General features: G+C 41.6%; 1 protein-coding gene across 5 annotated transcripts in view; it reads right to left on the reverse strand.

The window, feature by feature from the left end:
- The window catches only part of INO80 (INO80 complex ATPase subunit), a 137,401-nt gene that overhangs the window by 100,062 nt on the left and 17,486 nt on the right, over positions 1-19,853 (reverse strand). For all 5 annotated transcript variants that reach the window (NR_104038.2, XR_001751322.3, NM_017553.3 and 2 more), the window contains exons 2-9: positions 17,227-17,412; positions 16,818-16,987; positions 16,660-16,727; positions 13,086-13,241; positions 8,621-8,741; positions 6,428-6,642; positions 2,079-2,132; positions 760-963 (exon numbers count right to left, since the gene is read on the reverse strand). Coding sequence is in view for 3 of the 5 variants with exons in the window: in NM_017553.3 (NP_060023.1) it covers positions 760-963; positions 2,079-2,132; positions 6,428-6,642; positions 8,621-8,741; positions 13,086-13,241; positions 16,660-16,727; positions 16,818-16,987; positions 17,227-17,369 (1,131 nt within the window). In the remaining 2 variants the exon portion in view is untranslated. The remainder of the gene's footprint in view (positions 1-759; positions 964-2,078; positions 2,133-6,427; positions 6,643-8,620; positions 8,742-13,085; positions 13,242-16,659; positions 16,728-16,817; positions 16,988-17,226; positions 17,413-19,853) is intronic.

Here is a 19,853-nt window from a genome sequence, read left to right on the forward strand (position 1 = left end):
ACCAGCCTGGCCAACATAGTGAAACCCTGTCTCTACTAAAAATACAAAAAATTAGCCAGGCATGGTGGTGGGTGCCTATAGTCCCAGCTACTCAGGAAGCTGAGGCAGAATTGCTTGAATGTGGGAGGCAAAGGTTGCAGAGCCGAGATTACGCCACTGCACTCCAGCCTGGGCGACAAGAGTGAAACTTCATCTCAAAACAAAAAAATAAATAAAACAGTACAGTAGGTGAAGGGTAAGTCTTAGAAAACTGGGCTCATTGTCCACTGTCCCTATCTGGCCCTGAATTTGGCATCTATTTCTTACTGTCCAAAAAAAGCAAAACTGCAGTCAGCACCTACAAACAAACCAAGATGAATTAAAAGCTACTTTCTTTCTCTTTTGCTCATTCCTTTTTCTTGAGGAATAAGAGCCCAGAATAGAGGAAGACAGCTTAGAAGAAAAGAGAAAAAGGCCTGAGGAGGGCCTTACCAAAAGACTAAAAGCAGAATTGGTTTACTAGTCTAAAATCACCATCCTCAAAATTAAGTCTTTAAAAAAATTTCTGACGGTAGGAGATCAAGGCAGGCGGATCACTCGAAGCTCAGGAGTTTGAGACCAGCCTGGGCAATGTGGAGAAACCGCATCTCTACCAAAAAAAAAAAAAAAACAAAAAATTGACAGTGTCATTGGTTAGATGTACAATTTTCAAAATGCAAACGAATCTCTTCAAATGGCTGTAGTAATTAGGGTTTTCAAAATGTTATGCTTTTGCCCTACCTCCCGCATTTCCTCATCCAACTTCCGCTGCTCCAAAGCTTCCTTCTCTGCTCTCTTGCGGTGCTCCTTCTCTACTTTCTCATATTTCTTCCAGTACAGAAGCATCTCCTTGGTGAGGCGGCGGGCACGAGGCAAGGTTTCCTTACAGTTCTTCTGGGCCTGCAAGGCAGCTCGACGCACCTCCTTCATGCACTGGTGAGCAAGCTGAAAACAACAACAGCATTACAGCGGAAAGGACCCCATACCAGAAGCTGGTTCTTCCTGGACTCTAAACCACATCATTCCTCAATCTGTTCAGCCAAACTGTCATCCTTGACCACATCTTTCTCCTGCAACTTGATTAATGTCCTTGTACAGTACTGTGACATAGGCCCAGACCCTGTGGTATTATCAGGGATAAGAAATCTATCCAATTTCTATCACCTTAGAAGATGAAAAATTATAATGATGAAGAAGGACCTGGGATGTGCTTGGAAGTTACAAAATGTTATTGCACACATTAATAACAGCTATCACTGCTTATTACATCTTTAGCACCACTGAAAAATATATTAAACCAATTTACTCTTCACAAAAACCCTATGAAATTGGCATTACCATCACCCTCATTTATAAATGAGGAAACACAGTTGAATGACTACCCCAGAGAAACACAACTAATAACATGGCCTAATCTGATCCTCACAATTCTTAAAGGAAGTTGTTTTAGTCTCCTCTAAGGGAAGGTATTCACATCATTATTTCTTAGACGAGACTGAAGACAGGAAGATTCCATGATCTGCTCAAGAAATCAGGGTGGGCTATGGTCTTATCCAAAAAGGTTCAAATACCAGAAATGTGAGGAAGAACAATTTTATTTAATAAACAGATTGAGGCCGGGCGCGGTGGCTCATGCCTGTAATCCTAGCACTTTGGGAGGCTGAGGCAGGCAGATCACCTGAGGTCAGGAGTTCAAGACCAGCCTGGCCAACATGGTGAAACTGTCTCTACTAAAATACAAAAATTATAGGGCATGATGGCAGGTGCCTATAATCCCAGCTACTCGGGAGGCTGAGATGGGAGAATCGCTTGAACCTGGGAGACGGTGGTTGCAGTGAGCCAAGATCACTGCCACTGCACTCCAGCCTGGGTGGCTGAGACTCTGTCTCAAAAAATAAAAATAAAAAATAAACAGCTTGAGAACATTCAGAAACTCTCTTACGAACTATTAGATTCATGATCAACAGGTTACGACGGACAAGAGCAGCAAGATGGACCCCAAAGAAGAAGAATATATTCCAGCAAAACATGAAATGGAAAATACAAAACTACAATTTTACCTTTCGGCTATTGGTGAGAAACAGGTTACGAGCTGAAGCTTTCTGCTTATTTGCCTAAAATATTTAAAAAACAATATTTCATTTAGGATTCATTTTTGAACTAAGACTATGTAGAATGAACAGTCTTTTACTCAATTCCTAGAGGGTTAGAAAATGTCAAGCCAAGCAAGATATATTACTTCTATAAGTCATCCAGATGTATTGTCTCAACGCCATACATAAAACGATTAAAGAAGCATTCAAGAAGAATAAGTCAGCATTGTGGATGCCTTAAATAGTCTTCTGTATACTTTTGGGAAGATGTTAAGTTACATGTAAGGCTTGAAGTGGACTAGAAAAATGTTACAATACCTAAACCTTAGCACTATCCTGATTAAAAACATGTTGCTTACCAGGGCCAATCTGCAAGGCTGAGAGAGCAGGGCATCCAGATACAGGAATCATTAGGAGAAAGATAAACTAGTCTCCTAAGTGTGATTCTAGCCCCACCTCCAGCCTAGGCAAACCTGATGTCACTATTACTCAGTTTCTGCCACCACATAAGCCTAATCTTCTCTAAAACTAAACTCCAAGGAAGACCTAACACAAAATGACCCAGCAGCCCACAACCCAGCTATTTGTGTTTTCCACTCTAGCTAAGGGGAAAAACAAAAGTCAGTACAGAAACCTGACTCCCCATGATGTCTATTTGACATGGAAGAAGATGCTGAAGAGGCAGAGCTGGGTGGCTCTTTCAGTACTGAAGAGTACTCTCCTTGATGTTAAAGAAACAATGGGTTCAAAGTGACAAAGAAGGTCTGAAAGCCATTTCTTTAATGTTTGCACGTAAGACAGCAAATTTAAGGGAATATATGAGCCTTTTATAAAAAAAAAACTCTTACTAATTAAAGAGCTATTGTCACTCTGAAGCCAGGAACCTCAAATATTCCCACTAAAAAGTCATTTCCTGGCCAGGAATGGTGGTTCACGCCTGTAATCCCAGCACTTTGGGAGGCCGAGGCGGGTGGATCACTTGAGGTAATGAGTTTGAGACCAGACTGGCCAATGTGGTGAAGCCCCATTTCTACTAAAAATAGAAAACTTAGCCAGGCATGGTGGCACATGCCTGTAATCCTAGCTACTCGGGAGGCTGAAGCAGGAGAATCACTTGAACTCAGGAGGCGGAGGCTGCAGTGAGCCGAGATCGTACCACTGCACTCCAGCCTGGGTGACAAGAGCAAAACTCCGTCTCAAAAAAAAAAAAAAAAAAAAAGTCATTTCTTGGCCAGGCGCAGTGGCTTACACCTGCAACCCCGGCACTTTGGGAGGTTGAGGCAGGAGGATCACTTGAGTCCAGGAGTTCGAGACTAGCCTGGGCAAGATAGTGAGACCTCGTCTCTATAAAAAATAAACAGAATTGGGCCGGGCGTGGTGGCTCACGCCTGTAATCCCAGCACTTTGGGAGGCCGAGGTGGTTGGATCACCTGAGGTCAGGACTTCAACACCAGCCTGGTCAACATGGTGAATCCCCGTCTCTACTAAAAATACAAAAATTAGCTGAGTGTGGTGGCAGGCGCCTGTAATCCCAGCTACCCAGGAGGGAGCTACCTCAGGAGAATTGCTTGAACCCGGGAGGTGGAGGTTGCAGTGAGTCGAGATCATGCCATTGTACTCCAACCTGGGTGACAAGAGCGAAACTCCGTCTCAAAAAACAAAAAAAAATTAAATAAACAGAATTAGCTCAGTGTGGTGGCACACACTTATAGCCCCAGGTACTAAGGAGGCTGAGGTGCGAGGACTGCTTGAGCCTGGGAGATCAACGCTGAAGTGAACCAAGATGAGTCCACTGCACTCCAGCCTGGGCAACAGAACAAGACCCTATCTCAAAAAGAAATGAAAACTCATTTCTTTCATTGAAAGGACACCATCTGAGGCCTCTTCATCAGGTACTAAGTCATGGGAAAGTTTCCCATAACTTTCCCATCAAGAATGCTCAAGCACAGGCCGGGTGCAGTGGCTCACGTCTGCAATCCCGGCACTATGGGAGGCCGAGGCGCACAGATCATGAGGTCAGAAGATCGAGACCAGCCTGGCTAATAGGGTGAAACCTTGTCTCTACTAAAAATACAAAAAAAAATTAGCCAGGTGTCGTGGCGGGTGCCTGTAGTCCCAGCTACTCCGGAGGCTGAAGGAGGAGAATGGCGTGAACCCGGGAGGCGGAGCTTGCAGTGAGCCGAGATCGCACTCCAGCCTGGGCGACAAAGCCAGACTCCGTCTCAAAAAAAAAAAAAAAAAGAATGCTCAAGCATCAACTATGTCTCCAGAAATACTTATTAACTGCTATGGAAAAAAAATTTTAATTTTACAGTAGCAAAACACCACCATACCAAGGGATCAAAGGTAATATCCTCAAAACATTAAAACAGGTTGGGCATGGTGGCTCACACCTATAATTCCAGCACTTTGGAAAGCTGAGGTGAGCAGCTCACTTGAGGTCGGGAGTTCAAGACCAGCCTGACCAACATGGCGAAACCTCGTCTCTTCCAAAAATACAAAAATTAGCTGGGTGTGACGGCGCGCACCTGTAGTCCCAGCTACTCAGCTACTTGGGAGGCAGAAGTGGGAGAATCGCTGAAACCCAGGAGGCAGAGGTTGCAGTGAGCCAAGATCACACACCTGTACTCCAGCCAGGGCAAGAGACGAGACTCCGTCTCAAAAAAAAAAAAAAAAAAAAATTAAAACACACTATAACCTCCATAGTTTAAAAAGTGTCATACTAACCTATATGAAGTATATGTGTAAGATGCAGATCTAGTTTTATCTAAATTGCTACCCAGTTGTCTCGGCACTACTAATTTGTAAGTCCACCAGCTTATTCTACTCATCTATTTGCCTATTCATGTGCCAGTACCATACTTTTTTAACTGTAGAGGTTTTGTAGCGTGTTCTAACGTTTAGTGGGGATTTTTCCAATTCTTCCCCAGCTACTCCTACATTCTGACTTCATCACATGGACTTTAGTATCAACTTTTCTCAATTCATAAAATATCCCGTTTCTAAAAAAAATCCAATTTATAATGAAATATCCTGTTCCTATCAGGATTGCACTCAATTCATCCTTAAGAGTAATATGTAAACAACTGGTGAATCTCACTTAAGGGTAAACAGACATTCCTTGGACTATAATTGCAACTTCTTTAAAAAAAAAAAAAAAACGCTACATATGGCATCTGGTTTGCAACTATTAATTTTGAAATTATATCAAAATAACATGTTATTGGCTGGGCGTGGTGGCGCACACCTGTAATCCCAACACTTTATGAGGCGGAGCCAGGCAGATCACCTGGGGTCAAGAGTTCGAGACCAGCCTGGCCAACATGGTGAAACCCCATCTCTACCAAAATACAAAAATTAGCTGGGCATGGTGGCATCTGCCTGTAGCCCCAGGTACTTGGAAGGCTAAGGAAGGAGAATTGTTTGAACCTGGGAAGCGGAGGTTGCAGTGAGCCGAGATGATGACACTGCAATCCAGCCCAGGCGACAGAGCAAGACTCCATCTCAAAAATAATAATAATAAAATAAAATGTTATCAAAACCAAATGAATTAAGAGGAAAAATGCTTATACATGTTTAACTCGTTCACATTTTATTCTAGTGCCTGTGATTATCCAGCAACATTCAAACATTTGTAAATTCTCTAAGAAACATATCAACTCCTTTTTATTTTATTTAATTTTTGAGATAAAATAAATAAATATTTATTATGTTACACATTCTGTTACACAAGCTAGAGTGCAGTGGTGCGATCTCAGCTCGCTGCAGCCTCAACCTCCTGGGCTCTATCTATCCTGCCTCAGCCACTTGCATAGGGAGGGCTACAAACATGTGCCGCTACGCCCAGTTCATTTTTGTAGTTTTTGGAGAGATGGGGTTTCACCATGCTGTCCAGACTGGTCTCAAACTCCTGGGCTCAAGCGATCTACCCACCTCAGCCTCCCAAAGTGCTGGGATTACAGGTGTGACCTGCCATGCCTGGCCTCTTTTTAATTTTTTCTAATATCACCTATAAATTGGCTGTCAAGTATCTATTGCTATATTTAGGAAAACTGCATTCTTTTCTTGAAGAAGTTGTCCTCCAATTTTTTGACCACGGAGCATCACACAATAACTAATTGTCTTGTGAATTCTGACCACATTCTAGAAGAAACTGTTAACTGAAAGAGTACTACTCAGCATTTTCTTGATTCCAACAGATTAGTTTCTTTGCAGAATTCCTATCTGTGAAAGTATCTAGCTCTCAGAGTTCCTCTTTAGTGGGTGGGGAGAGAAAACATTCTCCTAATTTCCATCTCCTGGAGGCATTCACTTACCTTTGGTAGTTCCTTTTTCACAATGCTGAGCCATACTTTCCTGCGACGAGCATTCAGCTGCTCAATGGATAAGTGCTTTTTCTTAGTGCCAGGGGGAGGTGCATCGTGAGAAAACTTGGCAAAGACTTTGGTCTGGTGGTGATGGCGACGAGGGGATTCTTCAGAGGAAAGTTCTTCATCTCTTCGTCTTTTTTTCTTCACTTTTTTCAACTTAGCTGCAAAAGAAACAGATGCAACAGGTTGCACTTCCACAGGAGATAGTCACAAAGCAACCTCATGACTTAAAACATGCAAGGTTCTTTCCTTATTCCACCTGACACTGACAACACATATCCCTTTATCTACTCAGACCCATGAATATTCCTTGAGGAAGAAAAGTAACAGAGAAGAAGAAACATACTGATTGATACCTCACTAACCTGGAAAAGAACACTGGATACTCACTCTGTTTATATGAAAGTGAAATACAGAATAAAACCCGAGAACCAAATTTCTTTTATTTTTTTTCCGAGACGGAGCCTCGCCCTGTCGCCCAGGTTGGAGTGCAATGGTGCAATCTCGGCTCACTGCAACCTCCACCTCCCAGGTTCAAGCGATTCTCCCGCTTCAGCCTCCCGAGTAGCTGGGACTACAGGCGCGTGGCAAGAACCAAATTTCTTTTGAACCTAATAGGTAAGGATGTGTCTGAGGTATCACAGACTCAAGTAATAGTCAAAGGAAGGAAACTTATTTCTACTTGGTGGCAATATAAGGTGGCTATACATCTATGCAGTGTGGGGAAAATAAGAAAAAAGTATACCTATAAGGTGGATAAAGAAAAATAAAAGAGAAGAAAAAGACATATTGATATGTCACTAAGACTTGCAAGACAAAAATACATGAAACAAAACCTTAATTCAGGTTGGAGAAAGTGTGTGGAGGGTGAGAAAACACTAATAAAGATAATAGAGAAAGAAGGGAAGGCTAAAAGGAGCCTTTTTGAGTACAATTCATACCTTTAAGCCAGGTGCGATGGCTCACGCCGGTAATCCCAGCACTTTGAGAGGCCAAGGCAGGCGGATCACCTGAGGTCAGGAGTTCAAGACCAGCCTGGCCAACATGGTGAAACCCCATCTCTACTAAAAATACAAAAATTAGCCAGGTATAGTGGCGTGCACCTTTAATCCCAACTACTCGGGAGGCTGAGGCATGAGAATTGCGTGAACTCAGGAGGTAGAGGTTGCAGTGAGCTGAGATCACGCCACTGCACTCCAGCCTGGGTGACAGAGCGAGACTCCATCTCAAAAAAAAAAAAAAAGAAATTAATACTTTCAGGGGAATAAAATTTGCCTCACAAAGATAGTTTAAAACTTTCTCTTTCAGTTTCCTTCCTGATATCCAGCTGCTGAGAGCTCAGTAAGAGAGGAAAGGACATTTCCTGGCAAACATGCAAACAAACACTACAGAAGATCATCAGGAGGTGATCTATTTTAAATCACCTCGGACAGCAACAATGATAACTTATTCCAAACACTTCAGGTTACTTTTCTTACTTCTCTGTGCATAACCAACTTCCTATCCCAGAACATTTGCAATATTTGCAGAGTGTGTATAAGAAAAATGGAATAAACTAATTTTGCCTAAACCTTTAGCTAGGAATCTGTCTTTCCAATTCTAGAACTAAAGACTATAAGCCAAATATGAATTAAGGTTAATAATATAGTCTACCCTTCCTATCTGTGGGTTCCACATCATAGATTCAACCGAGGATCAAAAATATTCAGGAAAAAAAAAAAAGAATGGTTGCAGCAGCTGTACTGAATATGTACAAACTTTTTTTGGTCATTATTCTCTAAACAATATAGGATAACAAGTATTTACATAGCATTTACATCATATGAGGTATTATAAGTAATCCAGAGATGACTTAAAGTATACGAGAGGATGTGCACAGCTCATATGCAAATACTATACCATTTTACATAATGAATTTGAGCATCTCTGGATTTTGGTACCTGCCAGGGGTCCAGAATCCAATCACCCATGGATACCAAAGGGAAAACTGTACTTGCTACTAATTAGAAAGGAGAGTTTTTCAGATAAAGCAAATTTCTACCATATGGACTTATATATAAAGTCCAAATGCACCAGTAGGCCACATGCAATTCTGAAACTAAGAATGAATATACGTGGAAGGCAGTTCAACATGCTCACCTTTAAGTTTCTTTTCCTCCTTAAATTTCTTTTTCTTGGGTCCAAGTAGGTGCCGTTGTTGCTCATAGAAAGGGTCATATGTGGAGAGCAGGCCTGCACTGTAGTACTGATATTGCTGCAACTGAAGCAGGCAAAGACCATGATGGGCCTGTTTTCTATAGTACAGCTTTCAAATTACCTTTACTACAGAAAACTAAGCCAGAGGAAATCATAGCTCCTAAATACAGTATTCTTCCCACAAAGAGATCAGTAACATCTAGTATATCTAAGGGAATCACTTACTTAACTTCAAACAAAATGAGTTCAACTCCTATACACGTAACAAGTCACTGAAAATAATTTAAGAAAGCAAAACTCTTCATGCTTCTGAATTTCTACATACTTACTTAAACCTGACATATACTAAGACATGAAATTAATTCCTTGCAGAAATGTCTCCCCTTGGAAATTCACCACCAAGAAATAAGCCATACTTCTATTACCAACAGTTCCTCAGATTTACTAAGGTTCCTCATGCTTGCTTTTCTTTTTTTTTTTTTTTTTTTTTTGAGACAGAGTCTTGCTCTGTCGCCAGGCTGGAGTGCAGCGGCATGATCTGGGCTCACTGCAACCTCCGCCCCTTGGTTCAAGCGATTCTCGTGTCTCAGCCTCCCAAGTAGCTGGGATTACAAGCACACGCCACCACACCCAGCTGATTTTTGTATTTTTAGTAGACACGAGGTTTCACCACGTTGGCCAGGATGGTCTTGATCTCCTGACCTCGTGGTCAGCCCATCTCAGTGTCAGCCCACCTCAGCCTCCCAAAGTGCTGGGATTAACAAGTGTGAGCCACTTCAACTGGCCCTTCATGCTTGCTTTTCTATTAGTCATATGTCTGCTTCAAATAGTCACCAGTCATCCCAATTCTTGAATCTTTCAAGTCTTTCCTCTCTTCATCTCCCACTAAGACAGTCTGCTATTATTATAAATAGTGCCTACATTGCCAGAATTCTAACATATGAATAACGTAACTCTTTCCATCCAGGAAGTGGTAAGTAAATGCTTCCAAATATTTCACTTACTCCCCAAATCTCATATTAATTTTGTTTCACATATTACTAATGCATAAATATAAATTAAAATTAGGTAGCCCACTATTAAATCTCTTTCCTGGATTATAGCCAAATAAATTGTCTGAGGACTGAAATAAGACTGAAAGATTAACATGGGGAACTATTACAATGTCCTCTGTTAAAAATCAAAATTAAATTAGCATGCACTGAGCTGTACACTTAAAGTCTGATAACTTTCCTATATGTATGTTTTATCTGAATTTAAAAAACAAGCAGGCCAGGCATGGTGGCTCAGCTGGGCGCCATGGCTCATGCCTGTAATACCAGCACTTTGGAAGGCCAAGGTGGGCAAATTATTTGAGGTCAGGAAGTCGAGACCAGCCTGGCCAACATGATGAAACCACATCTCTACTAAAAATAAAAAAAATTAGCCAGGCATGGTGGCAGGCTTCTGTAGTCCCAGCTACTTGGGAGACTAAGACAGGAGAACTGCCTGAACCCAGGAGGCAGAGGTTGCAGTGAGCCAAGATCATGCCACTGCATTTCAGTCTGGGTAACAGAGCCTCCATCTCAAAAAATAAAACAAAAATAAATAAAAAATAAACATAAAAAACAAGCAAATACTTGGAGCGCCAAGTACCTTACTGCTGGAGTTTAAGAAGGAAGGAACTTTTTACATCAAAAGGGTCAGATACTCTGTTAACCACTTCTACAGGTTTATAAGGTTCAGAATATTATTCCAATCTCTCTGAACTAACTTTGGACCTTAACTAATTGCTAGAAAATTCTTAGGTCTTCAAATATACTATTGCTCATTATGTACAACGTTCCACACTTGTAGAAATAGTCAGAAGGCGGCTGGGCGGGGTGGCTCACCCCTGTAATCCCAGCACTTTGGGAGGCCGAGGCGGGTGGATCACCTGAGTCTGAGACAAGCCTGACGAACATTGAAAAACCGTATCTCTACTAAAAATACAAAAATAGCCAGGCGCAGTGGCGCATGCCTGTAATCCCAGCTACTCGGGAGACTGAGGCAGGAGTACTGCTTGAACTCAGAAGGCGGAGGTGGCAGTGAGCCGAGATCACGCCATTGCACTCGAGCCTGGGCAACAAAAGTGAAACTCAATCTCAAAAAAAAAAAAAAAGAAAGAAAGAGTCAGAAGGCTTTGGTAACGGCATTCAAATAGTTGTCACTCAAAACTATCATCATTTTAATGTTAGTGTATGAAGAGCTTTCTAAGAGAGAAACACTACACCCAAAGAGCAACTGCATGAATAAGCAACACTAGAATGTAAGCATTCTGGCAATTCCTCAAAAGGCTAAGCAAGGTGTTTCCATATGACCCAGCAATTTCACTGTTAAGTATATAATGAAGAGAAACGAAAACACATCAACACAAAACCTGTACACAAATCTTCATACCATCATTATTCAAAATAGCCAAAAAGTAGAAATATGCTAATCATAGTTCATGAACTGGACAATGCATATATAAGATAAGGTATAAATACAACGAATATTTGCAATAAGAAGAAATGAAATGCTGATACATGCTACAACATTAATCAATCTTGAAAATATGACATTAAGTGAGAGAAGCTGGACACAGGCACATGTTGCATGATTGCATTTGTATGAAATGTCTAGAATGGGCACATTTATAGAAACAGAGCAGATTGGGCTGGGGATGGTGGCTCACGCCTGTAATCCCAGCACTTTGGTAGGCTAAGGCGGGAGGATCACCTGAGGTCAGGAGTTCGAGACCAACCTGGCCAACATGGTGAAAACCCGTCTTTACTAAAAACGCAAAAAAAAAGCCGGGCGTGGTGGCACACGCCTGTAATCTCAGCTACTCAGCAGGCTGAGCAGGAGAATCGCTTGACCCTGGGAAGCAGAGGCTGCAGTGAGCCAAGATCGCGCCACTGCACTCCAGCCTGGGCAACAGAGCGAGACTCTGTCCAAAAAAAAGAAAAAAGGAACAGAGTGGATTGGTGGTTGTCTGGACTGAGGGACAGAAAGAATGAGGGGCAACAGCTAAGAGGCATGCGGTTTCTTTATGAGGTGATGCAAATGTTCTGGAATTAGGCAGTAATGATAGTAACACAACTATGAATATATTAAAAAAACACTGAATTGCACACTATATAAGGCTGAAGTTTTGTTATGTGAATTACATCTCAATAAAGCTGCTCCACTGCTACCTAAAGTTAAAATGATGTATCTTTTTTTTTTTAAGAACATATCTTTTAGTCTAGTACATCCGAAGTATTAGTAGTTTAATTTCATTGATTCCAGAGAATTTTAGAAATTCTTTTTTTTTTTTTTTTTGAGATGAAGTCTTGCTCTGTCACCCAGGCAAGAGTGCAGTGGCTCAATCTCGGCTCACTGCAACCTCCACCTCCCGGGTTCAAGCGATTCTCCTGCCTCAGCCTCCTGAGTACCTGGGATTACAGGCATGCACCACCACGCCCAGCTAATTTTGTATTTTTAGTAGAGACACAGTTTCCTTATGTTGGTCAGGCTGGTCTCGAACTCCTGACCTCAGGTGATTCACCCGCCTGGGCCTCCCAAAGTGCTGGGATTACAGGCGTGAGTCACTGCGCCCAGCCAACTTTTTGTATTTTTAGTAGAGATGGAGTTTCACCAAGTTGGCTGGGCTGGGCTCGAACTCCTGACCTCAACTGATCTGCCCACTTCAGCCTCCCAAAGTGCTGGGATTACAGGCGTGAGCCACCGCACCCAGTCAGGAATTTTCTCTTTTTTTTAAGTACCAGGGTACATGTGCAAGATGTGCAGGTTTGCTACACGGGTAAACATGTGCCATGTGGTTTGCTGCACCTATCAACCCATCACCTAAGTATTAAGCCCAGCAAGCATTAGCTGTTTTTCCTGATGCTCTCCCTCCTCCTGCACCCACCTGCCCAGGCCCAGTGTGTCTTGTTCCCCTTCCTGTGTCCATGTGTTCTCATTGTTCAGCTCCCACTTACACTCACTACTGAGGATAATGATTTCCAGCTCCATAAAATGATGTATCTCTTTTTTTTTTTTTTTTTTTTTTTGAGACAGAGTCTCGCTCTGTCGCCAGGCTGGAGTGCAGTGCTGTGATCTCGGCTCACTGCAACCTCCGCCTCTGGGTTCGAGCAATTCTCCTGCCTCAGCCTCCTGAGTAGCTGGGACTACAGGCGCACGCCACCACACCCAGCTAAATTTTGTATTTTTAGTAGACAGGGGGTTTCACCATGTTGGCCGGGATGGTTTCAATTTCTTGACCTCATGATCCGCCCGCCTCGTCCTCCCAAAGTGCTGGGATTATAGGTGTGAGCCACCACGCCCAGCCAAAATGATGTATCTTTAATGACTATAAAGCAGAGGGTGAATATTCAGTTTGAAGTGTTTCTCCTGAAACTCTTACCTCCTTGTCTTTACTATACTTATTTTGGTGAAGTTTCTTATATTTGTGTAGTCGAAGCATGTTGTGAAGTTCTTCTCTGCTGAGATTGAGTTCTTCTTCATCATCGTCTTCACTCTGAGAATCAGCCTCGCTGGATTCATCACTTAGCAGAATGCTCTGAAAAGGGTGAAAATAGAAATGTATCTTTTGCTGTGAAGCAATCCCATTTATAATCCAAGCATTTTTTCCTAGATCCAAAACAATGACAAAAACAGCAGAAAGATAGTCACTCCAGTTCCCCTTATGACATGCTTTATAAATTCAACTGAAAAACATTAAGAATACTAATTAAACTTAGGGAATACAAACTAAAATGCAATAAAACATGGGACATGTTATCAGCAACAAGGCTAAAAATTCCTCTGAATACTTACAAAAGTATAAATAATACATAAATATCATATACATACAAACTATACATACATGCCAAACAGGAAGGCAAAAAAAACAACTACCTATAGGGTATAAAAAAATATAGAAAGCAAGCTGTAATGGCCCAAAAGGAGAAATATCCCAAATATCCATTTATTGATAAATGGATAAATAAAATGTGGAATATCCAGATAATGAGATGTAATTCAGCCATGAAAAGGAATAACACATGAGTAGGGGCTACAATATGAAGAATCTTGAAAATATTATGCTCAATTAAAGAAGTCAATCATAAAAGGTCACATTATGATAGGATTCAATTTATACGAAATGTCTAGGCTGGGAGTGGTGGCTCACACCTGTAATCCCAACACTTTGGCAGGCCCAGGCATGAGGATTGCTTGAGGCCGGGAGTTCGAGACTAGCTTGGGCAACCTAATAAGATCTCTTCTCTACAGAAAAAGACATGTGCCTATAGTCCCAGCTACTTGGGAGACAGAGGAGGAAGGATTGCTTGACCCCAGGAGTTCAAGGGTGCAGTGAGCTATGGCTGCACCACTGCACTCCAACCTAGGAAACAGAGCAAGAGCCTGTCTCCTAAAAAGAAAACAAAAACAAAAATTCCAGAAGAGGCACATCAATACAGACAAAAAGCAGATTAGTCGCTGCCAAAGGACAGAGGAAATAGAAAATGGAGAGTGACTACCGGCCGGGCTCAGTGGCTCATGTCTGTAATCCCAGCACTTCGGGAGGCTGAGGCGGGGGGATCACAAGGTCAGGAGTTTGAGAACAGCCTGGCTAACATGGTGAAACCCTGTCTCTACTAAAAATACAAAAATTAGCCAGGCGTGGTGGCAAGCGCCTGTAGTTTCAGCTACTCAGGAGGCTGAGACAGGAGAATCGCTTGAACCCAGGAGGGAGAGGTTGCAGTGAGCTGAGATCACGCCACTGCACTACAGCCTGGGCGACAGAGCAAGACTCCGTCTCAAAAAAAAGAAAAAAGAAAATGGAGAGTGACTGCTAACGGGTACGGGGTTCATTTCAGAATGTTAAAAATTTTCTGAGATTACATTGTAATCATGGGTATACAACTTTGTAAATACACGAAAAACTACTAAATTTTAACCTGTAAAAGGGTGAATTTGGCCAGGCACGGTGGCTCACACCTGTAATCCCAGCACTTTGAGAGGCTGAGGCAGGCAGATTGCTTGAGCTCAGGAGTTCGACACCAGCCTGGGCAACATGGTGAAACCCCCAAAAATTAGTTGAACGTGGTGGTGCGGGCCTGTAGTCCTACTTCACAGGGGTGAGGCTGGAGGATCACTAGAACCCAGGAGGTCGAAGCTGCACTAAGCTGAGATTGTGCCACCGCACTCCAGCCAGGGTGAAAAAGTGAGACCCTGTCTCAAAAATAAATAAATAAAAATAAAATAAAATGAAAAGGTGAATTTTATGACAATGAATTATAACTCAATTTTTCAAAATATGACGGCTAAGCATAACAATTTCTGCATTTCCAACAGCCTAAAGTGCAACTGATATTAACCAAATCGGACCTTTTACACATGAGCCTTTTGAAGGACCTAGTGATAATAATGAAGGGTTTTAATTGCTTTTGAGTACTTCATAGCAAAAGTATAAAAGAGAAATAATTAGTTTCAATAAAAGAAATACTATCCTTAATTCAGTTTGGCCACTGACAGTAATCTTGTAAGAGTGTAAATGAGATTAACAACCTCTCTGCTTGTAAACACTCCAACGGCTTATGCCTACGACAGTAAAACACGAACTCCTTAACATAGACAAAGCCTGTGTGATCACAGTCTTGTAACTTCATCTTCCACCATCCTCCTCATTCACTGTGCTCTAGCCATATTAGACTTCTTTTTCCACCAAACATACTAAGTTGTTTCTTTTCTCAGGACTTTTGCAGTTGTTCCTTCTGACCGAAATGCCGTTACCCTGGATATAAGATGGTTCTCTGTGATCATTCAGAATCAGTTGAAATGTTACGTCTTTAAAGAAGCCATGTTTATTTACTTGTTTACAGGCTTACTAACTGCCTGCCTCCTTTAGAATGTAAGCACCACTGGGCAGGAAACTTGCCCAACCATAATCGTACCTGGCACATGCACATGGATGCACTAAATCAACATCTGTTAAATGAATAAACTACTCAGGAACTTATGGAAGTTATGGAATTAATATAAATTATGGAACTTATGGAATTAATATTCCTGATTATGTGACCCAATGAGTGCAAGGACTTCATCTGATAAATTTTTGTACTTCCTGTTTCCCCTCAGTACGTTATAACAGGTTGAGCATCCCTATTCTAAAAACCCAAAATACTCCAAAATCTCAAAGGTTTTGAGCACCAATAAGATGCCACAAGTGGAAAATTCCACACCTGACCTCACGCGACAGGTCACAGTCAAAACACAGGTATACAAAACAGAGTTTATTCAACATCCCCAAGGGAAAAATATAATTACCTTCAGACTATGTGTATAAGGTGTATATAAAAGATAAATGAATTTGGTGTTTATTAACTTGGGTCCCATCTCCAAGATATCTCATTTTGTATTGCAAATATTCAAAAAAAAAAAAAAAATCTGAGGCTGGGTGCGGTGGCTCACGCCTATAATCCCAGCACTTTGGGAGGCTGAGGCAGGCAGATCACCTGAGGTCAGGAGTTCGAGACCAACCTAGCTAACATGGTGAAACCCCATTTCTACTAAAAATACAAAAAAATTAGCTGGGCGTGGTGGCGCATGCCTGTAATCCCAGCTACTCAGGAGGCTGAGGCAGGAGAATTGCTTGAACCTAGGAGGCGGAGGTTGCAGTGAGCTGAGATCATGCCATTGCACTCCAGCTTGGGCAACAAGAGCAAAATGTTGTCTCAAAAACAAAATCTGAAACACGTCTGGTCTCAAGCATTTCAGATTAGCAATACTCAACCTGTACTCAATTCATGTTTGCTAAATGACTTCATTGAATCCTCCAGATTTTCTCAATAATCTCTTCAAAAAAACCACATCCAGTATAAGAGAATCATATTTGAAAAACTCTGTCAATCTGCCAAAATGAGTTGATAACTTTCCCATCTATTAGTAACTTTAGTAGACTATCTGCACTGTAAACACCCTGCTTTATCTCTTACCTTTAGCCACTTTCTGCTTTTCTTCAGCTTAGAGAAATTATATAAATTCCCCTTATCACATTTTGATTCTGTATAAAGAAACACAAAGAATAAAAAAATTAAAGGATGACTGCCCCAAGATAACGATAGTCCAAAGGGGGATGTCACACCACACTGACCTGACTGTAGAACTCCATTCAGAGAATATGTGTTTAACATTCCAGAACTGCCTGCTCCAGAAGTTTCACCAAGCAATGAATTTGGAGGTTCTTCCTTAACTTGTATTAAGGGATCCCCAGACTGGGGCAATAATGGATTACTGTCATCCAGTCCATCTTCACTGTCATCACTATAAATTGAAGAATGAGTCCACAATTACAGCTGACCCAATAAAATATAATTTAAAGTTAGAACTGGACACTTTACAGAAGAAACTGTTCCTCTGAAATAAATTGACTTTTTTATTTGAAAGAGGCAAAAGAAAATATCAAACATAAAAATCATAAGATACTTTAATCCTGTAAAATCTGTAAGGATGATGGAAATCAGGAATTTGGTAAAACATATTGCAAAGATACAATAACATACCTAGAAATATTCCTATTGAAGATAGCTGACGTTTGTCGCAGAAAATGGTCCAACCGGAGGGCCCTCTCCAAGTACTGAAGATAGAGGGGCTTTGCCAGCTCAGTGCAGCCTCCATCATCCCTGGCACCCAACTCCGAGGCCATAGAACAAATCTGTCTTCATGCACAAGGACCTCCGACTGCACGGCTGCAGAACAGAGATAAGAAGTGAAAGATGAAATTACTATCCATTCTCCCTTTCTCTTGCCTGCTTGTTCCCAATGTGAAGAGAAATCAGACCTTCTAGAACACAAGACACTGAAAAGACAGGAGTCTGCAGAAAGATCATGATAAAGCTCTTGTTAGACACTGCCTCCTAAAGCAAAGGCAGAAGTTAAAAGGATATAAAGAATATAAAAATACAGCAACACAGTTACATTTCACAATGAAAATTCATACTATACTTTTTCAAAACAGTATCTTAAAATGTATACCCACTTCCTTTATCCCTTTCAATAAAAAATTACCCAAAACTATGAATAAACAACTATCCAAATCTACACCCCAAGCTCACTGTTGTGCACCTCAGAAAGGAAAGTACTAGAGGAGCACTCGTTCTCAGCATCACCTTCAAAATAGGTGCTGCCCTCTTCATTTTGAATTCATATTCATACATATATGTAAGGTATCTTATTTACAAGGGAATAGATGTATTGGCAGAGTATTTTACTATCCTTTGTAAAAATGCCATAATGAGTAAAATTTAAATTTAGAAAATTGGAGCTAAAAGAGTAAAAGTGAGGGTGAGAAACACAGGTATAGCCTAAGCATTCTCTTTGCTACCTTACATTGTTAAAGACAACATTAGGGTCAGAACATCTTCACTAGAGACACAATCACACAATCACACAATCAGTATAACAACGCTTCTCCCACCACTTTCTTGTTTGTTTTTGTTTTTTGAGACGGAGTCTCGCTCTGTCACCCAGGCTGGAGTTCAAGCAATTCTCCTGCCTCAGCCTCCTGAGTAGCTGGGATTACAGGCGCCCACCACCACGCCCAGCTGATTTTTGTATTTTTAGTGGAGACGGGGTTTCACCATGTTGGTCAGGCTGGTCTTGAACTCCTGACCTCAAGCAATCCACCCACCTTGGCCTCCCAAAGTGCTGGGATTACAGGCTTGAGCCACCGCGCCCAGCCTTCTCCCACCACTTTCAAACAGTAGCATCTGCCTTATACCTGGTTATCTCTAAATACTTAAAGGGTTACACGAAGACTAAATAATGACATAATTTAGACTAATAAGCCCACCAAATGACATAAATACTCAATAAACCATAAATTATTGTTATGATTTTTTTCAGACGGAGTTTCGCTCTTGCAGTAGGGTGATCTCAGCTCACTGCAACCTCTGCCTCACAGGTTCAAGTGATTCTCCTGCCTCAGGCTCCCAAGTAGCTGGGATTACAGGCGTCCACCACCACACCTAGCTAATTTGTTGTATTTTTAGTAGAGATGGGGTTTCACCATGTTGGTCAGGCTGGTCTGGAACTCCTGACCTCAGGTGATCCACCAGTCCCAACCTCCCAAAGTGCTACGATTACAGGCATGAGCCACTGTACCCAGCCTAAAATACAAAAATACTAAAAATACAAAAATTAGCTGGGCATGGTGGCAGGCGTCTGTAATCCCACCTACTCAGGAGACTGAGGCAGGAGAATCACTTGAACCTGGGAGGCAGAAGTTGCAGTGAGCCGAGACTGTGCCACTGCACTCCAGGCTGGGCAACGAGAGCAAAACCCCATCTCAAAAAACAACAACAACAACAACAACTAAATGAAATGATAAGTTTTTTTGTTTATTTGTGGCGGTTTTTTTGTATTTTTAGTAGAGACAGGGTTTCACCGTGTTGGCCAGAATGGTCTTGATCTCCTGACCTTGTGATCCGCCTGTCTCAGCCTCCCAAAGTGCAGGGATTACAGGCGTGAGCCACCACGCCCGGCCAACTAAGTGATAAGCTTTAAAGGCAATCATACATCTTTGAGTTGTCTTCTCTTTTTTTTACAATTTTCTAATATAACTTTCCTATCTAAAACAGTGTAACTTCTAGAAAAACCAGGAGAAAATCTTCATGACTGACCATAAAAAATTCTAGATATGCAATCAAAAGCACAAAAGATCAAAAATTAGCCCATGCGAATTAAAAATGTTTACACTTTAAAATATATCATTAAGAAAATGAAGACAAACTAGGCACAGTGGCTCATGCCTGTAATCCCAGCACTCTGGGAGACTGAAGTGGGAGGATCACTTCAGCCCAGGAAAACAAGATCAACCTGGGCAACACAGTGAGATCTCATCTCTTCAAAAGAATTTAAAATTAGCTGGGCATGGTGGCACAGGCCTCTGGACAAACTATTCGGGAGGCTGAAGTGGGAGGATCACTTACAGCCCAGGAGGTTGAGGCTACAGTGAGCCATGATCTTGCAACTGTACTCCAGCCTGGGTGACAAAAAAAAGAAAAAGAAAATGAAGACAAGCCACAGACTAGAAGATACTTGCAAATCATCTATCTGATAAAGGTCTTGTATCCACATATACAACTTTTTTTTTACACAGTTGTTTGTCAGTGTGTACACATAAAACCTA

The sequence above is a fragment of the Homo sapiens genome, chromosome 15, assembly GCF_000001405.40.
Source record: "Homo sapiens chromosome 15, GRCh38.p14 Primary Assembly".
NCBI lineage: Eukaryota > Metazoa > Chordata > Mammalia > Primates > Hominidae > Homo > Homo sapiens.